The 19,363-nt window shown below is 37.4% G+C and overlaps 1 protein-coding gene across 11 annotated transcripts in view, besides 1 other annotated feature; it reads right to left on the bottom strand.

Moving 5' to 3' along the window:
* Nucleotides 1–19,363, bottom strand: part of EXOC4 (exocyst complex component 4) — an 847,874-nt gene that overhangs the window by 727,763 nt on the left and 100,748 nt on the right. For all 11 annotated transcript variants that reach the window (XR_007060126.1, XR_007060125.1, XR_007060123.1 and 8 more), the window contains exon 6: nt 16,616–16,859. Coding sequence is in view for 3 of the 11 variants with exons in the window: in NM_021807.4 (NP_068579.3) it covers nt 16,616–16,859 (244 nt within the window). In the remaining 8 variants the exon portion in view is untranslated. The remainder of the gene's footprint in view (nt 1–16,615; nt 16,860–19,363) is intronic.
* Nucleotides 3,748–3,948: a silencer, noted in NCBI's record as "peak6732 fragment used in MPRA reporter construct". NCBI's record gives its function as "represses an SCP1 promoter by STARR-seq MPRAs in K562 erythroleukemia cells {active_cell/tissue: K562}" and the evidence as "EXISTENCE:reporter gene assay evidence [ECO:0000049][PMID:32103011]".

The following is a 19,363-nucleotide window of genomic DNA, read 5'->3' as shown; positions in this document are numbered from 1 at the left end:
GAAACACTTAATGTGGTGCAGGGAAATAATCGGTATAAAACTGGTATCTGGCATCATACAGATCAGTAACTTAATCAGTAAATACCTGATTAAGTGAAGGTTCTCCTTTTCCAACAAAGATTTATCCTAGGTATGTAAGACTGTAGTTCTCAAATATGAATCTACAGACTGTAATATGTTTTTGAGTGGTAGATAGCAAAGTATGAATAATATATTGACTCTTCACAAAGGTAAATTTATTTAACATTATATCTTTTGTACTCTCTTGATAGGAAAATCTTAGTTATTTTCTGCCATGAATGGCAGTTATGTTGCCAAATGTCCTTACCGGAGAAAATTAAAACTTAATGTATGTTAAGGTAAATATTGGGGTATTCAAAATATGGTTTGAAACCATATTGATCCATGACATTCAGATGCCTGAGGCACACTGGTGTCTAATGTCCCAATGGCATGAAGTTCTAGATACAGGATTGTGAACCAGCAGCAAAGTTTTAACAGAAAAGTGGCTCCTCTTGTTAGGGGTGCTGTTATCTGGTTATCTCCAGGGCCAATGAGTGCCACAACTGCATACCTTGCCTGTCAGTCAAGGACAAGAGCTGCTCAGCAGCCAGGAACAGCGCTACATTTAGAGAAAAAAAAAACCAGTAGAGAATAGAGGTGTAAGATGAGATTCACAGTATCTATTAACATCTTGGAAATAGCAATCTCTTAATAAAATGCTGACACAGTTCCAGTTTCTGCCACTCCTGGAGGCTCAAAGCCAAAACAGGCCTGTTCCTATAGTGTGGCCATCATAGCCACAGGACAGGCTACACAGGGAGGAAGGAAAGGAGGTGTAATAGTAGCTAGGAACTTGCAGCTCTACCTTTTTTGAGACCTCCAGCCATTTTAACGAGAGGAAAGCTCTCTTCCGCCTTACCGAAGCACAACGGTGTCATATTATTTAATAAAACCCACAGCTCTGACACCAAAATTTAAAATGTTTGTGCTTCAAATGATATCATCAAGAAAGTAAAAAGGCAATACATAAAATGAGAGAAAATATTTGTAAATCATTAATCTGATAAAAGACAAATCTAAAATCTTACACTCATAATAAAAAGACAACTGAACTTAAAAATGGACAAAGGATTTAAATATCCATTGCTCCAAAGAAAATATATGAATGGCCAATAAGCAAACAAAAAGATGCTTAACATCTTTAGCCATCAGAGATATGCAAATCAAAATCACAATGAGCTAGAATTTCGGTCCACTAGGATGGTTACAATCAAAAACAAAAGCAATAAAAAGTATCAGTAAGGATGCAGAGAAATTGGAACTCTCAAACAGTGCCAGTGGGAATGTAAAATGGTGCAGCCGCTTTGGAAAACAGTTTGGCAGTTCCTCAAGACATTAAACATAGTTACCATATGGAGCCAGTGATTCCATTCCTAGCTATATGCCCAAGAGAAATGAAAACATACGTGCACACAAAAACTTGTACACAAATGTCCTTAGCAGTGTTATGCGCAACAACCCAAAGGTGGAAACAATCCAAATATCCATCAACTGATAAATGGATAAAATGCGGTATATTCATACAATAGAATATTATTTGGCCACAAAAAGGAATGAAGTACTGATACATGGTACAACTGGAATTAACCTTGAAATTACTATGGTAAGTGAAAAAAGGTCACAGAAGACCATATACTATATGATTATAGTTATATAAAATATTCAGGATAGGCAAATTTATAGAGACACAAAATATATTAGTGGTTACTTAGGCTGGGGGTGGGTGGGAACTGACTGATAAGTATACGGGATTTGTTTTAGGGAGGACATAAACGTGCTGGAACCAGGTAGTGGTGACGGGTGCAAAACTCTATGAATGTACTAAAAACCAATGAATTGTATACTTTCAATAGGTGAATCGTGCAGCAGTGAATTATACCTCAATTAGCTGTTAAAAGAACAGCAGCTATGGCTCTGAGTGGGGAGAGTGAAGATCCAACACCTCTCTAGCACTGAAGAGGAAATACATGAAACAGTGAAAAATGAAACCTGGCATCTCAAAAAGCGAGGTGTTGTGAAAGCTGATTCCTTTACATTCTTACTACCAGGAGGACATCAACTTTTCTCTTTTAGTTCACTTGGTTTTTTCTTTCTCTTTCTTAAGTAACATGTAAGAAACAATAGATTTCCATTCTTTCCCAGCACTGACACTGCCTACATCTTTCGTTATGAAAAAAATTCTCCCAACTTCTCCAAGTGTCCCCGTCTGCAAAGTGAAAGTATTAATTAATAACTGTTCTAAGAGACTCACAACACTGCTGGAAAAATCGAATTAGGAAATGCACAGAACTAGCTGAGGTAATGGTACAATTCTAAAGACAGGGAAAGGTTCAAGTTTCCTTCGTCTAAATTTCTGGCTTGAGCAACACTGAGGAGAATGGTTACCTTTCCTGTGTGAAAGGAAAATAAATCTTGCGACCCCAAAATCACTAAGCCAAAGGGAAAAGTCAAGCTGGGAACTGCTTAGTGCAAACCTGCCTCCCATTCTAGTCCTTAAAAAAGTAGCTACCAAGATTTTTTTAAAAAGCTACATACCTCCCTCACATTTTGTCCACACGGAAATTCCTCATGGACAAAGAACAGACAGAACTCAACGTCATCCCTCTGGTCACTGAGATTAATTTGTATCTGATTGCTTCCTTTGGAAAGGCTAATCAGAAACTCAAAAGAATGCAACTGTTTGTCTCTATCTATCTATGACCCAGAAGCCCCTCCTCGCTTGACTTGCCCCACCTTTCCGGACGAAACCAATGTATATTTTACACATACTGGTTGATGTCTCATGCCTCCCTAAAATGTATAAAATAAAAATATAAAAATTAAAATTAAAATTAAAAAACTAGCTGTGCCCTGACCACCTTGGGCACATTTCGTAAGGACCTGAGGCTATGTCATGGCTGCGTCCTTAACCTTGGCAAAATAAACTTCCTAAACTGATTGAGACCTGTCTCAGATACTCTTTGGTTTATGCTTTTGGGGGGGAGGGTGGGCGGGGGGGAGAGAGAATTAAAGTGAAATTAGAAATCTGGAAGGAGGCCAGGCACAGTGGCTCACGCCTGTAATCCCAGCACTTCGGGAGGCCGAGGTGGCGGATCACCTGAGGTCGGGAGCCTGACCAACATGGAGAAACCCCATCTCTACTAAAAGTACAAAATTAGCTGGGCGTCATGGTGCATGCCTGTAATCCCAGCTACTCGGGAGGCTGAGGCAGAAGAATCGCTTGAACCCGGCAGGCAAAGGTTGGGTGAGCCAAATTGCGCCATTGCACTCCAGCCTGGGCAATAAGAGCGAAACTCCGTCTCAAAAAAAAAAAAAAAAAAAAAAAGGAAATCTAGTAGAAGGAGAGATGCTGGGTTTTTATCTGGATATGTTAAGTTTAAGGTGTTATATCCTTAGGGAGTCAGATATGCAAGTCTGGAGCTCAGCAGAGAGAATGATACTGGAAATTTTAAAAGTGATAAATATTTGAGGAGATGAGATCACTCGGGGATAATATGCAGAATAAGAAAAGCAAGTGAGGTCCAGGACCAACACTCCAGGAAAGAGTATCATTAAAAAGATGGTTAGAAAGTAACTAGAGAGGAAGAAGGAAGCCAGGGAACATTGCAGAGGACCAAAGAGAAGAGAATACCAGCAGAGTCAAAGGCTATGGTAAGGCTAAGAGAGAGAAATTTACAACTTAAGGTCCCCAGTGACCTTGACAAGAAGGGTTTCAGTGGATCATTGAGTGGAACTCAGTAGTGGGATAAGCAGTGAATGACTAATAAGGAAAAAGAAACCAAAGTCAATCATATGTTGTCCCTCACCAGCACGTACACTCCTTTAAAAAGAAAAGGAGAAAGGAAGACGACGCTCCTCTGATGCAGCAAAGAATAAGAGATTAGGAATCATTCACATAAACAGGATGTAAATCTGCACTAGCTTGTCCCAATTTAAAGCTACCAGAAATAAACTGAAATATGTTGTTAATATTTATATACACTCTCTGACTGCCCACAACACAAGATTGAGAAAGAGTTGTTTGCCTTTAGCTGCAGACACACTAAGGATGAAAACACAATGCCCCAGTGAAATCATTCCCTGCCCAACTCCCAACAGAAAATATTAAATAAAAGAAATAAAACATTATGTTGCAGCTAGCTCAGTTGCTTACATACTGCTAGGATAAAGGTTTTCACCACTGATCTAAAAAAGACAAAAGAGCAGGCAAGATCATTAAATTACCTCAGGATTCCTTAAGCTGAATTGAATTAGTAAAGGCCCAAGAACTTTAGAGATTTTAATTTCAATTAATTGCAATTTCTACCCTTCAGAAAAAAATAACACACATACCCCTCTCTCACAAGTTATTTCTAAAGCCACAAAACAGTATGTAGTAATACTCAATGCAGCATCACAGTTAGTGAAAGAAAATATTAATCCTAGATGGCAATGTGGTATAAATACCAGTTAGAAACCTGGACTTGAATACCAGCTCTCTATTAAATAGACATGGGACTTTCAAGACATCATAGACTTCTCCAAATTTCACGTTCCTCAGAAATTGACTGTGAGAGCTACATACAAAAATATATATGAATGTAACACTTAAAAAAAAGCAAATTAAAAGTAACAATGAATTAATTCCTGTATCTTTAACATTTACCATCTAGAGGGAAGGAAAGGAGATAATAGATACTCTGGATGTTCCTAAGGCCCAGCTGCATCTCTCTCCTTCTTACAGCTTGATTAGTAAAGTCCTGCTTATATTCCATAATAATAATTCTGTATCATTCTAATAAAAAGCCCCTCTTTGATTAAGTTAGGTGATTTCAATTCCTGGCACTTATAACCAAAAGAGGCCTAATCCACAGAGTAAGAACCAATTCTCTCTTTCCTCTGTGATTCTACAGTCCCTCCAAACAAACTATTACAATGAACTGAGAGAAGTGACAAAACAGGTATGCATGGCCTCCTGGGCCAGAAAGTGTAGGCAGAATCCCTATTTTATGGTTCTTTGTAAACACATCTCTCCTACAACACATGGACCAATGTCCAGAATGGAGAAAACAGTCAAATTTTGAGGGCAAACGAGTTCATGAGTAAAAGAATGAGCAATGCAGGATGGCAATATAAGCAGAAGTCTGGGATGAAAGATGATGATCTGGGGTCCTTCTTCTACAAGGGGCAGGTAGTTAGCTACCTGTCATAATGGAGGAGATCCCTAAGAAAGTAAGACTGAAATGAAGTATCAGTGACAATGACAATGAAATCATGACAGCAACAAAAAGGAGAACTATGGTCATAACAGCCACTCTTTCCTAATTACTCACAACATGCCGAGCACTGTGTTAAGTACTTTACTTGGATTATCTCATTTCATCCTTAGGGCAGCCCTATAAGGAAGGTACTACTTTATCGCCATTTTATAGACAAGGAAACTGAAGTTCAAAGATAAGAGAACAAAGGACACAGTTCTGGAGACTGTCCCTTTTTAGGGGCGTTAGAAAACAGGGAAAGTATTTTAGAAGAGAGGCCAAAGTGATATTAGTACTCTATAATGCTAGGGAAGCCAAGGCTAGAAAGAGAGCCAACAGAACTGTCTGTACTGCCTCTTCCTTCTCACTGCAAACAGGTTTTCACCCCTGGGACCCTACTAAAACAGCTGTTGCTAAAAGTCCCAAATAATTATTTTGCTCCATCCAAGAAACCCACTTTGGCCTCTAATCAAATAGCCGCGGCACTTGTTTCTACTGCCCACTTGTGCCTCCTTGAAACACTGTCTTCCACTGGCTCCACAACCCTCCACTCTTCTGCTTTCCTGCCACCTCTCCAGTTATTCCTTCTCAGGAACCTCATCCTCAGCCTGTTCCTTAAATGCGGTAAACTCTTCTCAACCCCCTCATACTCTCTCTAGCTGAGCTCATTTGCCCCTAATCTTCAATTATCTACCTGCTATCAACTCACACACATATCCCTTAGCCAGATTACTCCCCTGAGCTGTAGACCGCTAACTTAATATGACTTAAATGGAACTCATCATATTCTTCCCCAAATCTACTTCTTCATGTTCTCTACATCAGTAAATGGTAATGCTTGCCCCAGCAAAAAATCCTTACCTCCCCTCCTCCCTCATACCCAAGCCATCACCAAGTCTCTTTACTGCTACCTCTTTACTCTCTCTCAAATAGGCCTCCTTCACTCCATTGCCACGGTTACCTTGCTCATGCCGGCCATGTTGCCTTTTGCCAGGATTATTAAAACTGTCTTCAAACTAGTCTCTCCTTCCCTCCAGTCCTTTCCTCTTCCCCTCTACTGTAAGCTCACTGTGGGTATGAGTTTCTGATTTATTACTGTATTCCAATATTTGGCATGACACTGATTGGCAAAATAGCATATGATAGGCAATAAATATTTGTTGATAAAGGAATGAAAAAGTGGGCTCCAGCAAAATGGGAGAGAGGCCTGATTACAGATAAGAGGTGGTAAGAAAGTAAGTGTTATAGATTATAACCTCCTGATTTTAGAAGCCCACAATAAAAAATATTTCACACAAAACCATGCTCTCAAAAAGGTAACCTTACCAAGCTAAACATGAGAACATGAAGTACAGTTACGAACTGAAAGATACAAACTTTAAGAGCCAACTTTAATAATATGGCAATAAAATCTATTTTATATTTAAAAAACAGAAAAGTAACAGGATGAAGAAAGTGTTTATTCTTTAAACACACTTCTAATTACCCAGCAGGTTTTAAAACCAGACTTCCTAGAGAAGTAAAATGTTACTTATTCTCCCAGATCATCTATTAACTTCCAGCCCCAAGTGATCCCTAGGTATCTCATCTTCAAGTGCTACCATGAAAAAAGGCAGAAGGCTAAGAAGAGGCACATATTAAGGAACAGTCACAGTTGCAGAAGGCAAGAAGCATCAACAGTGTAAAGCTACATCATCAAGCTGTGAAAAATGCTCAATATTTAAGGTGAGATAAGACTATCTGAATCTAAATTTAACATCCAGGGAACCTTGAATTAGTCATTTGGCTGGAAAACCCACGTTTGCAGCCAAGAAGCTGCCTTACTTGGTCACGAAGCAAAGACACACACAAGATAGAAGAATTAGTTCTGTTCTATTACTTGTCTGCTGAGACTTTAATATCAGGGTTATGCTTTTCCCCACTGACAAAAGCAATAACCATAGAATGTTTATTTCCCTACGATTATGCTCTAAAAGGTAAGAAAGTAGTGAACTCAGAGCGTAGACTTTATATAAAAACTTTATAATTTTATAAAAAGAAACGTATAATTAGATAAAAATGGTCTTTGTTTTACCTGCCCATATCTCTCATACACATTTCCTTAATAAGCCTGGCTGAGCTACTATTTTTCATTTCAAATAGGACATGGAGCCCATTTAATCTTCAAGGTTATCTAATACCTACTTCTAAGGGATAGAAATACGTTTTACCACTTATTAATAAGTCTTCATGTAAAAAGGGGTTACTATTTAAAGAGTGCTGACTAATTCTCCATCTGCTCTATGAAAAGAGCAAGAAAAAATTAGTAGTAATATAGAATGAAACACAGTAAAAATAACAAGAATACTGAAGTGGGGCCTGGTGCTAGTCACTTCCTTCCTGTGTTACTCCCTCCTTGTCAAGTCAGGTTTCTGAGTTCTGGAGAGATGACCTCAAACGTCTAATCCTGATGTATGCCAAATTTGTGGCTAAAATTAGAAAATAAACCCAGGCCCTATTTCTTTGAATTAAAGTATCAGTATCATTCTTTTGAAATCCTTTCCCCCATTCCAAAAATAACATTTCATCATAGTGGAATATTAGAAAAATGATCCATAAATCCACTTCCCAGGGATAACAAAAGTTAAGATTTTAGGTGCATATTCTTAGTGCTTTGTTGTTCTTAGTACAAGTGCTTTGTTGTTCTTAGTACTATATTGTTCCTAGTACAAGAATGCCCCTAGAGGAATTGTTTAGATAATAAAATTTGATTCTCAAGTGACCTAATTAAAATCCAGGCACTCTGTGGCTGCTTTTCACGCTTCTCAACATGTCCAGCTATCTCTGAGGCCTGCCACTGACCACAGTGTGAGGTATGGGCAGGAAAATGGATATTTAGTACAGATATCGTCCTTCTGAGGACAAACAAAATCAGGCCCATGACATGGGTTGGAAACATCATGTTTATATAAGCCAGAAAGCAAACTTACATGGTGGAAAAAGACTACTTCTAATCTTAATTGCACCACGAACAAGCTTTGTGAACTGTCAAATTATTTCAGCTTTCACATTTCTCTGGGTAAATCTGGGATTAATAATAATGCCCCTGCCTGTGAGGAGGCAAGTGGTGAGGCTCACTCAGGTGAGATACCAGATGGCAGATGGCTTTGCAAAGCGTGAATACTACAAAACTGCAAAATTCTATGATGTTTGTGATGTTATCTAAAGAGTGTTCTCAAACTTCAGTGTGCATAAGAATCAACTAAGGCATAGAGTCCTGTGGGCCCTGCATCCAAACATTCCAATTTAATAACCACTGCTTCTTGGGGAAATTTGCATTTCCAACTCTCTAGTGACACTGGTGATGTGGGTCCATAGACCCACTGTGAGTAGTGCTGAAAATAATAATAATAACTTCCACTAAATGACCTTATTTGCATCTTTTTCTTATTCATTCATTCATTAAAACTGGCCAGGCATGGTGGCTCACACCTGTAATCCCAGTATTTTGGGAGGCTAAAGTGGAAAGACTCTTGAGACCGGGAGTTCAAGGCCAGCCTGGGCAATCACTGTGAGACACTATCTCTTAAAAAAAAAAAAAAAATACTTTAAATAGCTAGGCATCGTGTCATATAACTGTAGTCCCAACTACTCAGGAGGCTAAAGCAGGAGGATCTCTTGAGCCCAGGGGGGGTCAAGGCTACAGTGAGCCATGATGATTGGGCCTCTACATTCCAGCCTCAGCGACAGAGTGAGACCACATCTCCATAAAAATAAACTTGTAGGCATTTCGTATGTGCCCAGCCCTAAATCAGGCTGCAAACACAAAGTTACCTCCCCTTATAAACTCACAGTCCAATCTGATTAGAGACTATAGCAAGAGGATGGGGCAGGAGCTAGAAGACCCAGACAATTTGAAATACAGCCTGAGAGACACATGAAGGTGCTTTAATCATATATGACACCACCCCTACACATCATCAACGTAAGAATTTCTTTTGACATAGGTTTGTTAGTTCATTTTTGCAATGAAAAGATCCAGTATTATTTTGAACTTGGAGTGCCTTTCCTATTATAACAATAGCAAGTGCACAAAAATGACAAAACCTAAGGCAGCTCCCACTCTAGCAAACAGAGAAGTGGCCTTGATACAGCATGATGGCTGCCATCTAAATAAAGTTATTACAGTCCATGAAACAGATTGTCTCTATTTCTTTGACTGGTCAGATCTTTAATTTGAACCTACTATAATATGTAAAACAAGAGAAATCGAGAGTAGGTTTTTTTTTTTTTTTTTTTTAACTTTGCCACATAAAACACAAAGGTTTAAGAAATGTAATATTGAGTAACATCTCTGGCCTATTCAGCCAAGAAGCCTTTCTCTAATGACTATAACCAAAGGACAATACACAACCAGAATGATAGCTGTCCAAACTCATGTTTACAAAAGAACTATGAACATTATTGACATTTCTCAGACACTGTATATGTGATGGAGCTATTATCCATTAATTTATTTAAGTCTTACTAGAAAGTATATAGACTTGGGACCTTTCATGGTAATGAGTTATATATTTTAGTTAACAATTGGAGTAACAAGTCCCATATGTAAAAAAAATTATCCTTTCATTTGTTCTAAAAATATTTCAGTTAAGCTGCAGGGGACATATCCTAGTTGAAGAATAGTGGAATTTCTTCTATATGTCCCTGGTTCATCCTATTCATCCCCTTCAATATTAAATAGTTGGGTATATTTAAAGCATGTTCTCATGATATGTGTAATCAAAAGTAGAGATTTAATCAAATGGAATCATAATCACTGAAGTTAAATTTACTTGCTTCCCGCTTGCTTTGATTCGAATTAACTACTCATCTAAATTACACGGAGGCCCTTCCTGATTCCAAGCATGTCCAGGTGCTACATGCGGTGCCTGGGAATGGCTATAAGAAGCCACAAGGAAAATGCCTGACCTTGCTTCAAAGCTGCTCTTGAATGACTTTTCTGTAAAATAAAATGACCAATTCCACCATGTCCTGCATTTCGGATACTTAGAAGAAGGGTAACTAATATAGAAAGAAGAGATAAAACGAAATGCTATTTATGTGAAATAGAAACTCATGCCTGAATCTAGCCACAGGTCTAAAAAAAATCATGAGCAATATTTCATTTATTTCTCCTTCCATAAACATTGTATTCATACTATAAAACTATCCTTGAGGCCTGAGCCTTTAGTCTTCCTCACAGATAAAACCATTTTATAAGAAAGTTCTATTACAGCAGTATGCCCTCATTCTGAATTCTGGCCTCCAAATTATAAAAAATATTTCAAAAGTATATTTTTCCAATTTTAGAGCAATAATTCAACGTATTTCTGAAAATCTATAGTCTTCACAGACTGAGAAACCAGGAGGAAAAAAAGAGTTTTAGAAAATGTGGCAAATACCAACCTTGAGAAGAACCATCACCATATGATAAACGACTCAGCGTTAGAATTATTCAGCAATTATGCAGCTAACATGGACAATTACATGACAGACACATGGATGACAGAAAAGAAAAGGGTGTACAACCCCTTACAATACAGTATAGTATGTGTCAGGTGTGCTCAAAAGTCGTTTGGTCACTCCTTCAGATCCCAGATGTATCAAAGATATAAATATTAAGAATGAGACTATATAAGTACTAGAAAAGTGTTGAAAATTTTATTATAATCTAAGAGTAGGGAAGCTCTAAGTATGACACAAAACCCAGAAGCTATAAAACCTGATAAATATACCCTCATAAAAAATTAAAACAAATGTCTACATGCCCAGAAACATCATGAAGTCAAAAGAGAAAGAAACTGGCAGAAAATTACAAAATAAATCCCAAAGAACAAATTTCCTATATATGTAAAGAGTTCCTACAAATCAATGAGACAAACATGTTAGAAAAATAATTCATTGAAAAGGAAATAAACACTTTAAACATTGTACTGTTGAAAATTTCAAACATTAAAAAAGTGAAGATAATAGGATAATGAACCACCTTGTACCTATCACCCTGCTTCAGTATCATTTCATGGCTTATTGTATCTATATCTTCACTCATTTGCAACTCATTTTATTTTGAAGTAATACATCCATATATAACCCAGATATCATGACAAGTTACTTTTATACAAACGAAAAGAAGTGTAACCTTACAATAAAAATGCAAATCCAAAAATACCATTTTTTACCTCTCAGATTGGCAAGGATAAAAGTATTTGATAATACAATCTGTTGGCAAGGGGATATAGGAACTCTCAAACATTATCCATTACATGAAAAATTGGTATCATCTCTAAGCAAAGCACAGTTGGCAACAGTTAAAATTTAATCAACACTCGGGAGGCCGAGGCAGGCAGATCACAAGGTCAGGAGATGGAGACCATCCTGGCTAACACGGTGAAACCCCGTCTCTACAAAAAATACAAAAAATTAGCCGGGCGTGGTGGCAGGCACCTGTAGTCCCAGTTACTTGGGAGGCTGAGGCAGGAGAATGGTGTGAACCCAGGAGGCGGAGCTTGCAGTGAGCCAAGATCACACCACTGCACTTCAGCCTGGGCAACAGAGCAAGACTCCGTCTCCAAAAAAAAGAAAAAATTTAATCAATACAGAGGTAAGCAAAAACAGTGAAAATGGCATATCAAGAATCTGGCTGCTTTCATTCTCACATCTTAGCGTTCTTTGAGTAACGCCTTCCTTCCTGCTTTAAACTCCATGAGGACAGGGACCACATATAATTTGTTGGGCATTTTACCCAATGTCTGGTCCATGGCAGATATTTCATAAATGTGGAATTTATTCTTGCAATCAACAAATATTTATTATGGGTCAGGTGGGCACTGTGCTAGATTCTGGAGATACACCAGTACTGAACAAGACAAACTAGTGCTCTCTTCTCTTCCATTCTAGAGGCAGCCAATAAATAACCAAATATATATAAAGATACACATATATAATAAAATTAATGAATGATGTCAAGTTGGTTTAAAAACAGGTATTATATTTTTCAATATTAAAATTTAGTTTTATGAACATTCATACCCCCACAGGCATTTTTATTTCTAATAATTTCTTGTGATTAAAATAACCTGAGTAATAATTTAATTTTTTGACAATGAATTATTTTCACTATAACTTGAGGTGCAAAACAGAGATGAAAAAGCAAAGACTACAACCCTACTAACCAAACACAACTACTTTTAGCATTAAAGTATATTTCTTTCCCATGTTTTCCATGAAGCTTTCTTCAATATTACAACAAGCCCAAAACCCACAAAGTTCTCTGCTTTTCACATCTGACATTTAATCTTTTTCTTCATAACAGAAGTCAATGAACCTTTTAAAATGGTTTCCTTCCAAAAGAGAGAAAGGTCTCCCTGGAAGCAACGGCTCCAACTCACTCAACGCCTTCTGCACTCTCTAGGACCTACAGCTCTACCTAAGTGAAGCTGACCTCCACCATCCCTTCCTGCAATGAATTTTTGCCTTTGCATTTAAACAGGTCCATTTCCCTCACACATACCAACCATTCTCTTTTCCCACATTCTTTTCTTCCATATTCTTGACAAGATACCACATCTTTGAGAAGTTTTTCTTCCATCTCTTCCTTATGCTTTTCTTATTTGTTAAGTACAGAACTCCTTCCAGCTTCTTTCAAATAAAAATAATATAAAAATACTCATGAATCAGATTTTGGGAAAGAATCAACAATTAGGCAGCAGGAGTTGAAGAAATTGATTCTGAAATGCAGAGGCTTCAGGCCACAGTCACCATCTGAAGTTGAAGACGCTGCCTGTCTTTCTAGAGAAATAATGGGTAGCAGGTGGTTCTGGTAAATTAGCAAGGCACATGTTACCCTAATGTTTATCAAGTTGGCAATAATTGTGGTTGAATATTTTCATTTAATAGTAAGTGGAGGCTTAAAGACACTGATAGATTATGAATGAACAGAAAAGACAAAATATTTCTCCTATAAATAGACAACAGATAGTTTGGGAGATCAAAAACAAAATAAAATAAAATAATAAGTAGGTCACCAAAGTGATTTTTTAAAAAACTGGCTGGGAAAGTATCCTGGCTCTGTAGGAATTAAAAGCAAGAAAGAATTCACTAGTTTGTTTCCTTCTACATTTCTAGCAAAATAGCACACAACATTAATTCTCTTTATATAAAGACAAATGAAAACAAGCCTGCAATGCATCACAACCAGAATATATTTAATAAGATGATGAAACTTTTAGGGAAAATTACAGTATGGGTATCTTGTCTCAGAATAACTAATGTTTTGGAACAGGATATTTCACTGGAGGGTGGGGGAGAAAATTTTCATGTTGGGAAACAGGATTCATGGATTTTTTGGTCTCTGTTCCAACTTTCTTTAAAAAAATAAATTCATATATCTTTAGCCATAAAATTCCTTGAATGGTAAACAATAATAAATAATGCCAAGTATTGTGATTTTACTTCTCTCTGAAATAAATGCCACTAATACCTTCCTAAGTAAGAGTCAATGCACAAAAGCACCACAAGCTTCAAATGATAATTTGACAATATTGCTTCTAAAATTCCAATCCTCTAGAAGCAACAATGCTGATCATTTTTGAATGACTCTGCTTAATTCAAGAGAATTAATTCCTTGAAAGTTTTAAAGCATTTGACAGCACATAACCACTAGAGACTAGCTCAAAATTATCAGTCCTTTGGAATCCCAGCCCCAAAATTTAATCTTTGATCTTCTAACAAAGTGGTTTACTCTAAATACTTGCTTTCTCTGTACTATTTTGTCTCATAATAAACAGTTTGGGTCCCAAATCTTGAATTTGTATGTTTTATAAAATGGGATTATGTTTATACATACAGCCAAGGCAAACAGCTCATTCACTTGTTAGTGTCCAATATATCCTGCCTACAAAAGCTTTCTAAAATACGGACAAACGAAAGACACTTAACAGGGAAAAAAATCCTGCTGCTGACTCATTCCTCATAGAGAAACATTTAGTATTTCCCAGGGCAGTGTGCTGAATTTCTATTATACTTCTAGTGCTATAATTTCCACTCGTGAATTCTGGAAGGGGTTTAGGCAAGGGGAAAAAAAAAAAGATGAAACTCCTATGAAAGACACAGTGCTTTTAAAGGTACTATAATGAGATCTGCAGAAAAGTTATTAATCCATGCCCTTTTATTTCCAATATATACTACAGCAATGTTATTTCCCTAGGAAAGTTCACTGTATTCATCTAGGAACTTGCAGCAACAGGCAAAGAGCAAACCAGAATTTTAGAGTATTCATCAGTAAGGAGTCAAAAGGTCTTCACGAAAATCCAGGTGCCAGGCAAAGAAAGAAGAAAGGCAAAAGTTCAAAGAACCATTCTCCAGCTTCTCTGGATCATGATGTAAGTGATCATAGAACATGGAATTTGGGGAAGGCACCGATAATAAACATATATTCATATACACACGCATTTTATACAAGCAGGCATGCATGTTATAGTACTTACTGGTGCTATTCCACTAAGCACCACAACCATATAACCTCATCTAAAGCAAGCAACACTGTAAGACAGGTTAATTTTTGCAAATCACAAAGTGGGGATACAAAGTCAGGTCTGTTCTCCAAAACCCATCAAATATTTACTTTTGGTGTTTTTGTTTGTTTGGTTTTGGTTTTTTGGGGTGTTTGTTTGTTTGTTTGTTTGAGATGAAGTTTCACTCTGTCAACCAGGCTGGAGTGCAGTAGTGTGCTCGGCTCACTGCAACCTTCGCCTCCCCGGTTCAAGCAATTCTTGTGCCTCAGACTCCCAAGTAGCTGGGACTACAGGCATGCACCACCATGCCCAGCTAATTTTTGTATTTTTAGTAGAGTTGGCGTTTCACTATGTTGGCCAGGCTGCTCTCGAACTCCTGACCTCAAGCAATCTGCCCACCTCAGCCTCCCAAAGTGCTGGGATTATAGGCATGAGCCACTGTGCCTGGCCAAATATTTACTTTGAAACATTCTGTGGCAGGAGAAGGATAAAGGGTAGTTCCATTCACCAAACATAGTACTTTTGAATCAAGTTTACAAGGAAATTAATTTTTGAAATGTTAAAGTATAATTGAAATCAATGTTATTTACATATGCAAAAGAACACAGAAATACAGTATTAATTTTTCCAAAAAATTTAAATAAGTCTATAGAGAACTCTATACTAAATGAGTTATTATTTCTCCTTAATTTTATCTTCTTTTAAAAAAACTTTGAGCCCTAGGTATAAACAGTAGATATTTCCTTAACAACGTATCTACAAGATTATGATTTCTTCTTGTTTGTCACACATGATCTGTTAGTATATGATAGTCACAAAGTTAGAATCTGAATTCAATTTCCGTACTCTCCATATGAAATAAGAATTATGAAATTCAAATCTTATTGTTTTAAAAATTCCTGAGACTGATTTGTCTATTGGAAATATCATTACACATTAAAGAAGAAAGCATGAGACACAGGAAAGACCATGGATTTTAGAATCAAATGGACTAGTATTCAACACCAAGACTTTTTCTAAGAGCTTGCTAATTATTCAATCTCTGAGCTCCAGTTCTCCTAACTGCAATATGTGGATACTAATAACTAGGTCATACAGTTGTAGTGATAATTAAGTGAGATAATATACATAAATTGCCTTGAACATTGCTGAGTACTTAGTATGTGTACAATAGCTGCTACATTATTTGATTCAATTTATTCTTTAAATGTTTAAATATCGACAATCTCTACTATAAATATGTCCATATTTTTCATTGAGTGACAATATGCTTTGAATTTTTCAACAACATTAAAAAACAGACAGCTGAATTATGCCTAGTCAAGCTGTTTTACCAATCAAAGTTTGTATGGGCTATAGTATCCTTTTTATTTTTTAAGACGGAGTCTCGCTCTGTCACCTAGGCCGGAGAGCAATGGTGCAATCTCGGCTCACTGCAACCTCCGCCTCCTGCGTTCAAGCAGTTCTCCTGCCTCAGCCTCCAGAACAGCTGGGATTACAGGCATGCACTACCATGCCCAGCTAATTTCTGTATTTTTAGTAGAGACAGGGTTTCACTACTAGTACAGGCTGGTCTCAAACTTCTGACCTCAAGTGATCTGCCTGCCTCAGCCTCCCAAAGTGCTGGGATAACAGGCGTGAGCCACTGCGCCTGGCCTGTATGGGCTATAGTATCCTAAGTTCAAGAAAACAACATCAACAGAAGGTAAGTTACTTACGCCCCACCCTAGAAAATGTGCAATAAATAGAGTTGTCAAAAATACAAAATACACTCCCACCTACCTTGGTTGGTTCTCCACAGTAACGTTCTCCCCCCGCTGATAGCCACTGTCTGCCACCTGGGTTGTAGACCTCTTCACAATTTGCTTCAACTCCTGCTCCAAGCGCTCTATGATTGCCTTAACTGTTTCTGGGATCTTCTTCAGTTTCGCCAAGCCCTTAATGAGGATACCCATAAACAGGGTGCTGTTTTCCTCTGGATCCAATTCTAAATCTTCCTTGATGTCCTGCAGATTTATCTCCCTCACTGAAAAATTAAATAATAACAATAATAGATACAGACTCCACTCAAAAACCCCAAAACAGAGCAGTCTAATAAACGAAATCACTGCCTTGATTACTCTCTTAAAGAATTAAAGAGGATTTTTCAATTAAATTATATTTGCACAGTAACCATCCAAAAGTCACAAAATAACATTTATATTCCTCAAATCATACCCATCAGTTAGTAATAAGAGGCAGATGCAATAAAAATTAGTAAACAAATCACCATGGGAAGTTTTCCACAGACTACTACTTCTGCCATGAGTCCACTGGCTCATGACATTTATTAGGCACTCGCTGTTTATAAAATGCCATATGTGGCGCTGCAAGAGAATTCTGAAGAGCTGGATCCTAGCCTCAGGTTTGTATTTGTTAGTTAAAAGTGGTAAGTCGCTGGAGAAAAAGACATCATGAATACACACAGGGGGAAGAGTGATAAATAAATTAAAATTATAATAAATTTTTTAAAAAGATTAAGGGAAAACAATACATACAAGTGAGACAAGACTTTGAGGAAATAGGGTAACGAAGAGGTATTTCATAAATACAAAAGAACAACCTATTTTTCTTTAAACATATGTCTGCTACAACATAATTATCTATAGGAGACAGATCTTGCTAATAATCCATGAAAGGCTTCTGAGAAGTAATGTTATATGTCAAAAGCCTCTGTAGATCTTTAGAATACAGCATTCTTTCAAACAATTTGGCACTGAAATGGAAGAAATAACCAAAACTTTAGTTTTTAACCCCTGTGGCAAGTTGGAGAGAGGGGAGAACTGCTGATAGGAGATCTCTGTTATCTACTGAAAGCCACAGGCCTTGCTCTCCAAAGTATGAATATACATATGCAAAACTTCACATAGGAATTCCGGGTTTCGCAACTGCCAAAAAAAACAGGACGTTACAAATCTCTGACTTAAAAGTAACTGCCTCATTTTACAAATGGCTGGATTAAGATATACAAAAGCAAAAGTGAGTACAGAGCTGAAGATGGAGCCTAATAGTCAAAAGTTTTCCCCATCCACCTCTGTCCTCCATCTCTCAAAACAAATGCAAGATTTTAAAAATCTGCAATATCCTGAAAGAATGAATACATTCTTCCTTAGTAGATTTAAACTCAGACTACAAGCCATTCTAAGTTATTCAGCACTACTAGAATGGTACTGAAATCTACTAGGGAAGAAAGAAAACATCCCAGTATATGGAATGAGTTCTTGTAACTGCTACACAAAGTCCATAAAACCTCTACTTCAGATGATGTGAAATCCACTGTAGGGCATTCTCCTCAGTCCCTATTTTGGGGGTTCCCAGCTTATAAAACGCTCTTAAGGAGGATTCTGGGAAGACTGCAGAGTAGGAGGCACCAGGAATCTCCCCACCTACACGATTGTACTGGCAGAATCTGTCTGATGTAACTATTTTGTAACTCTGGAGTCTATGGAAGGCTTGCAACTTCCAAGGGAACACTTGGATGGTAAATTGTGGTCGATTTCAATTACAGCTCTTACCAAAGTAGCTACCTAGCACTGTGGCAGACATCCCTGTACCTGTTCCTGGAGTACCTTGCACACACCTGGTGGGAAGACAGGGTGGGCAAAAAGAACCCTGCCTGCCAAGTATCAAGAATCTATGCTCTGATCGCTGATTGCTTCCTCTAATCACAGAGGTACAAAGAGGCACGTGACAATTGTTGTTGCACCTCCTCCAATTTTTCAAGCCCCTCCTACTCTTGCTGAAGTAAATTCCAGGGAAGTTAAACAGCCAGTAGCCTTCCCCTACTGCCTTTATTTTTCTCTTGCTCCCCGTTTTAAAGCCAAACATTAGGACTAGGACATTCAAAAACAAATGCATGTATTGAAAAAATTATAAGGTGACTGTGCATGCCCATGTAAAGGTGCAGGCTTAGAAAAGCTTTATTTGAGGAGATCTTAAATTAACACCCAGGCTGATCCTTAGGATAGACACTGACTACAATAATTTATAAAACAAAACAATAACAACATCAAAACCCAGAGAACCCGGGAAAAGAGGGAGAATGTGATTTCTGGAGTCACCACATCATTAAACTCAAATGCCCAGTTTTCAACAACAACAAAAAATCACAAAGCATAGAAATAGAGAGGCAAATATGGCCCATTCAAAGGAAAAAAAATAAATCAACAGAAACTGTCCCTGAAAAAGACTTAATGGTAGATATATTAAGAAAAAAAACTTTTAAAAAGTTTTTTTTAAAGTTTTAACTGTTTTAAAGATGCTCAAATAACAAAAAATAAAGAGAAAGTCAAGAAAATAATGTATAAACAAACTGGCAATATCAATAAAGAGATATAAGAACTAAAAAAATAAAAAGAATAAGAAATTCTTGAGCTGAAAAGTATACTTGGAATGAAAAATGCACTAGAGGGATTCAAAGGCAGATGTGAGCAGGGAGAAGAAAAAAAATCAGCAAACGTCAAGATAGGACAATGGAAATTATCATCTAAG

This window comes from Homo sapiens, chromosome 7, assembly GCF_000001405.40.
Source record: "Homo sapiens chromosome 7, GRCh38.p14 Primary Assembly".
Taxonomy (NCBI): domain Eukaryota; kingdom Metazoa; phylum Chordata; class Mammalia; order Primates; family Hominidae; genus Homo; species Homo sapiens.
Note: the sequence above shows the minus strand (reverse complement) of the source record. Positions and strands in the feature narration are given on the sequence as shown.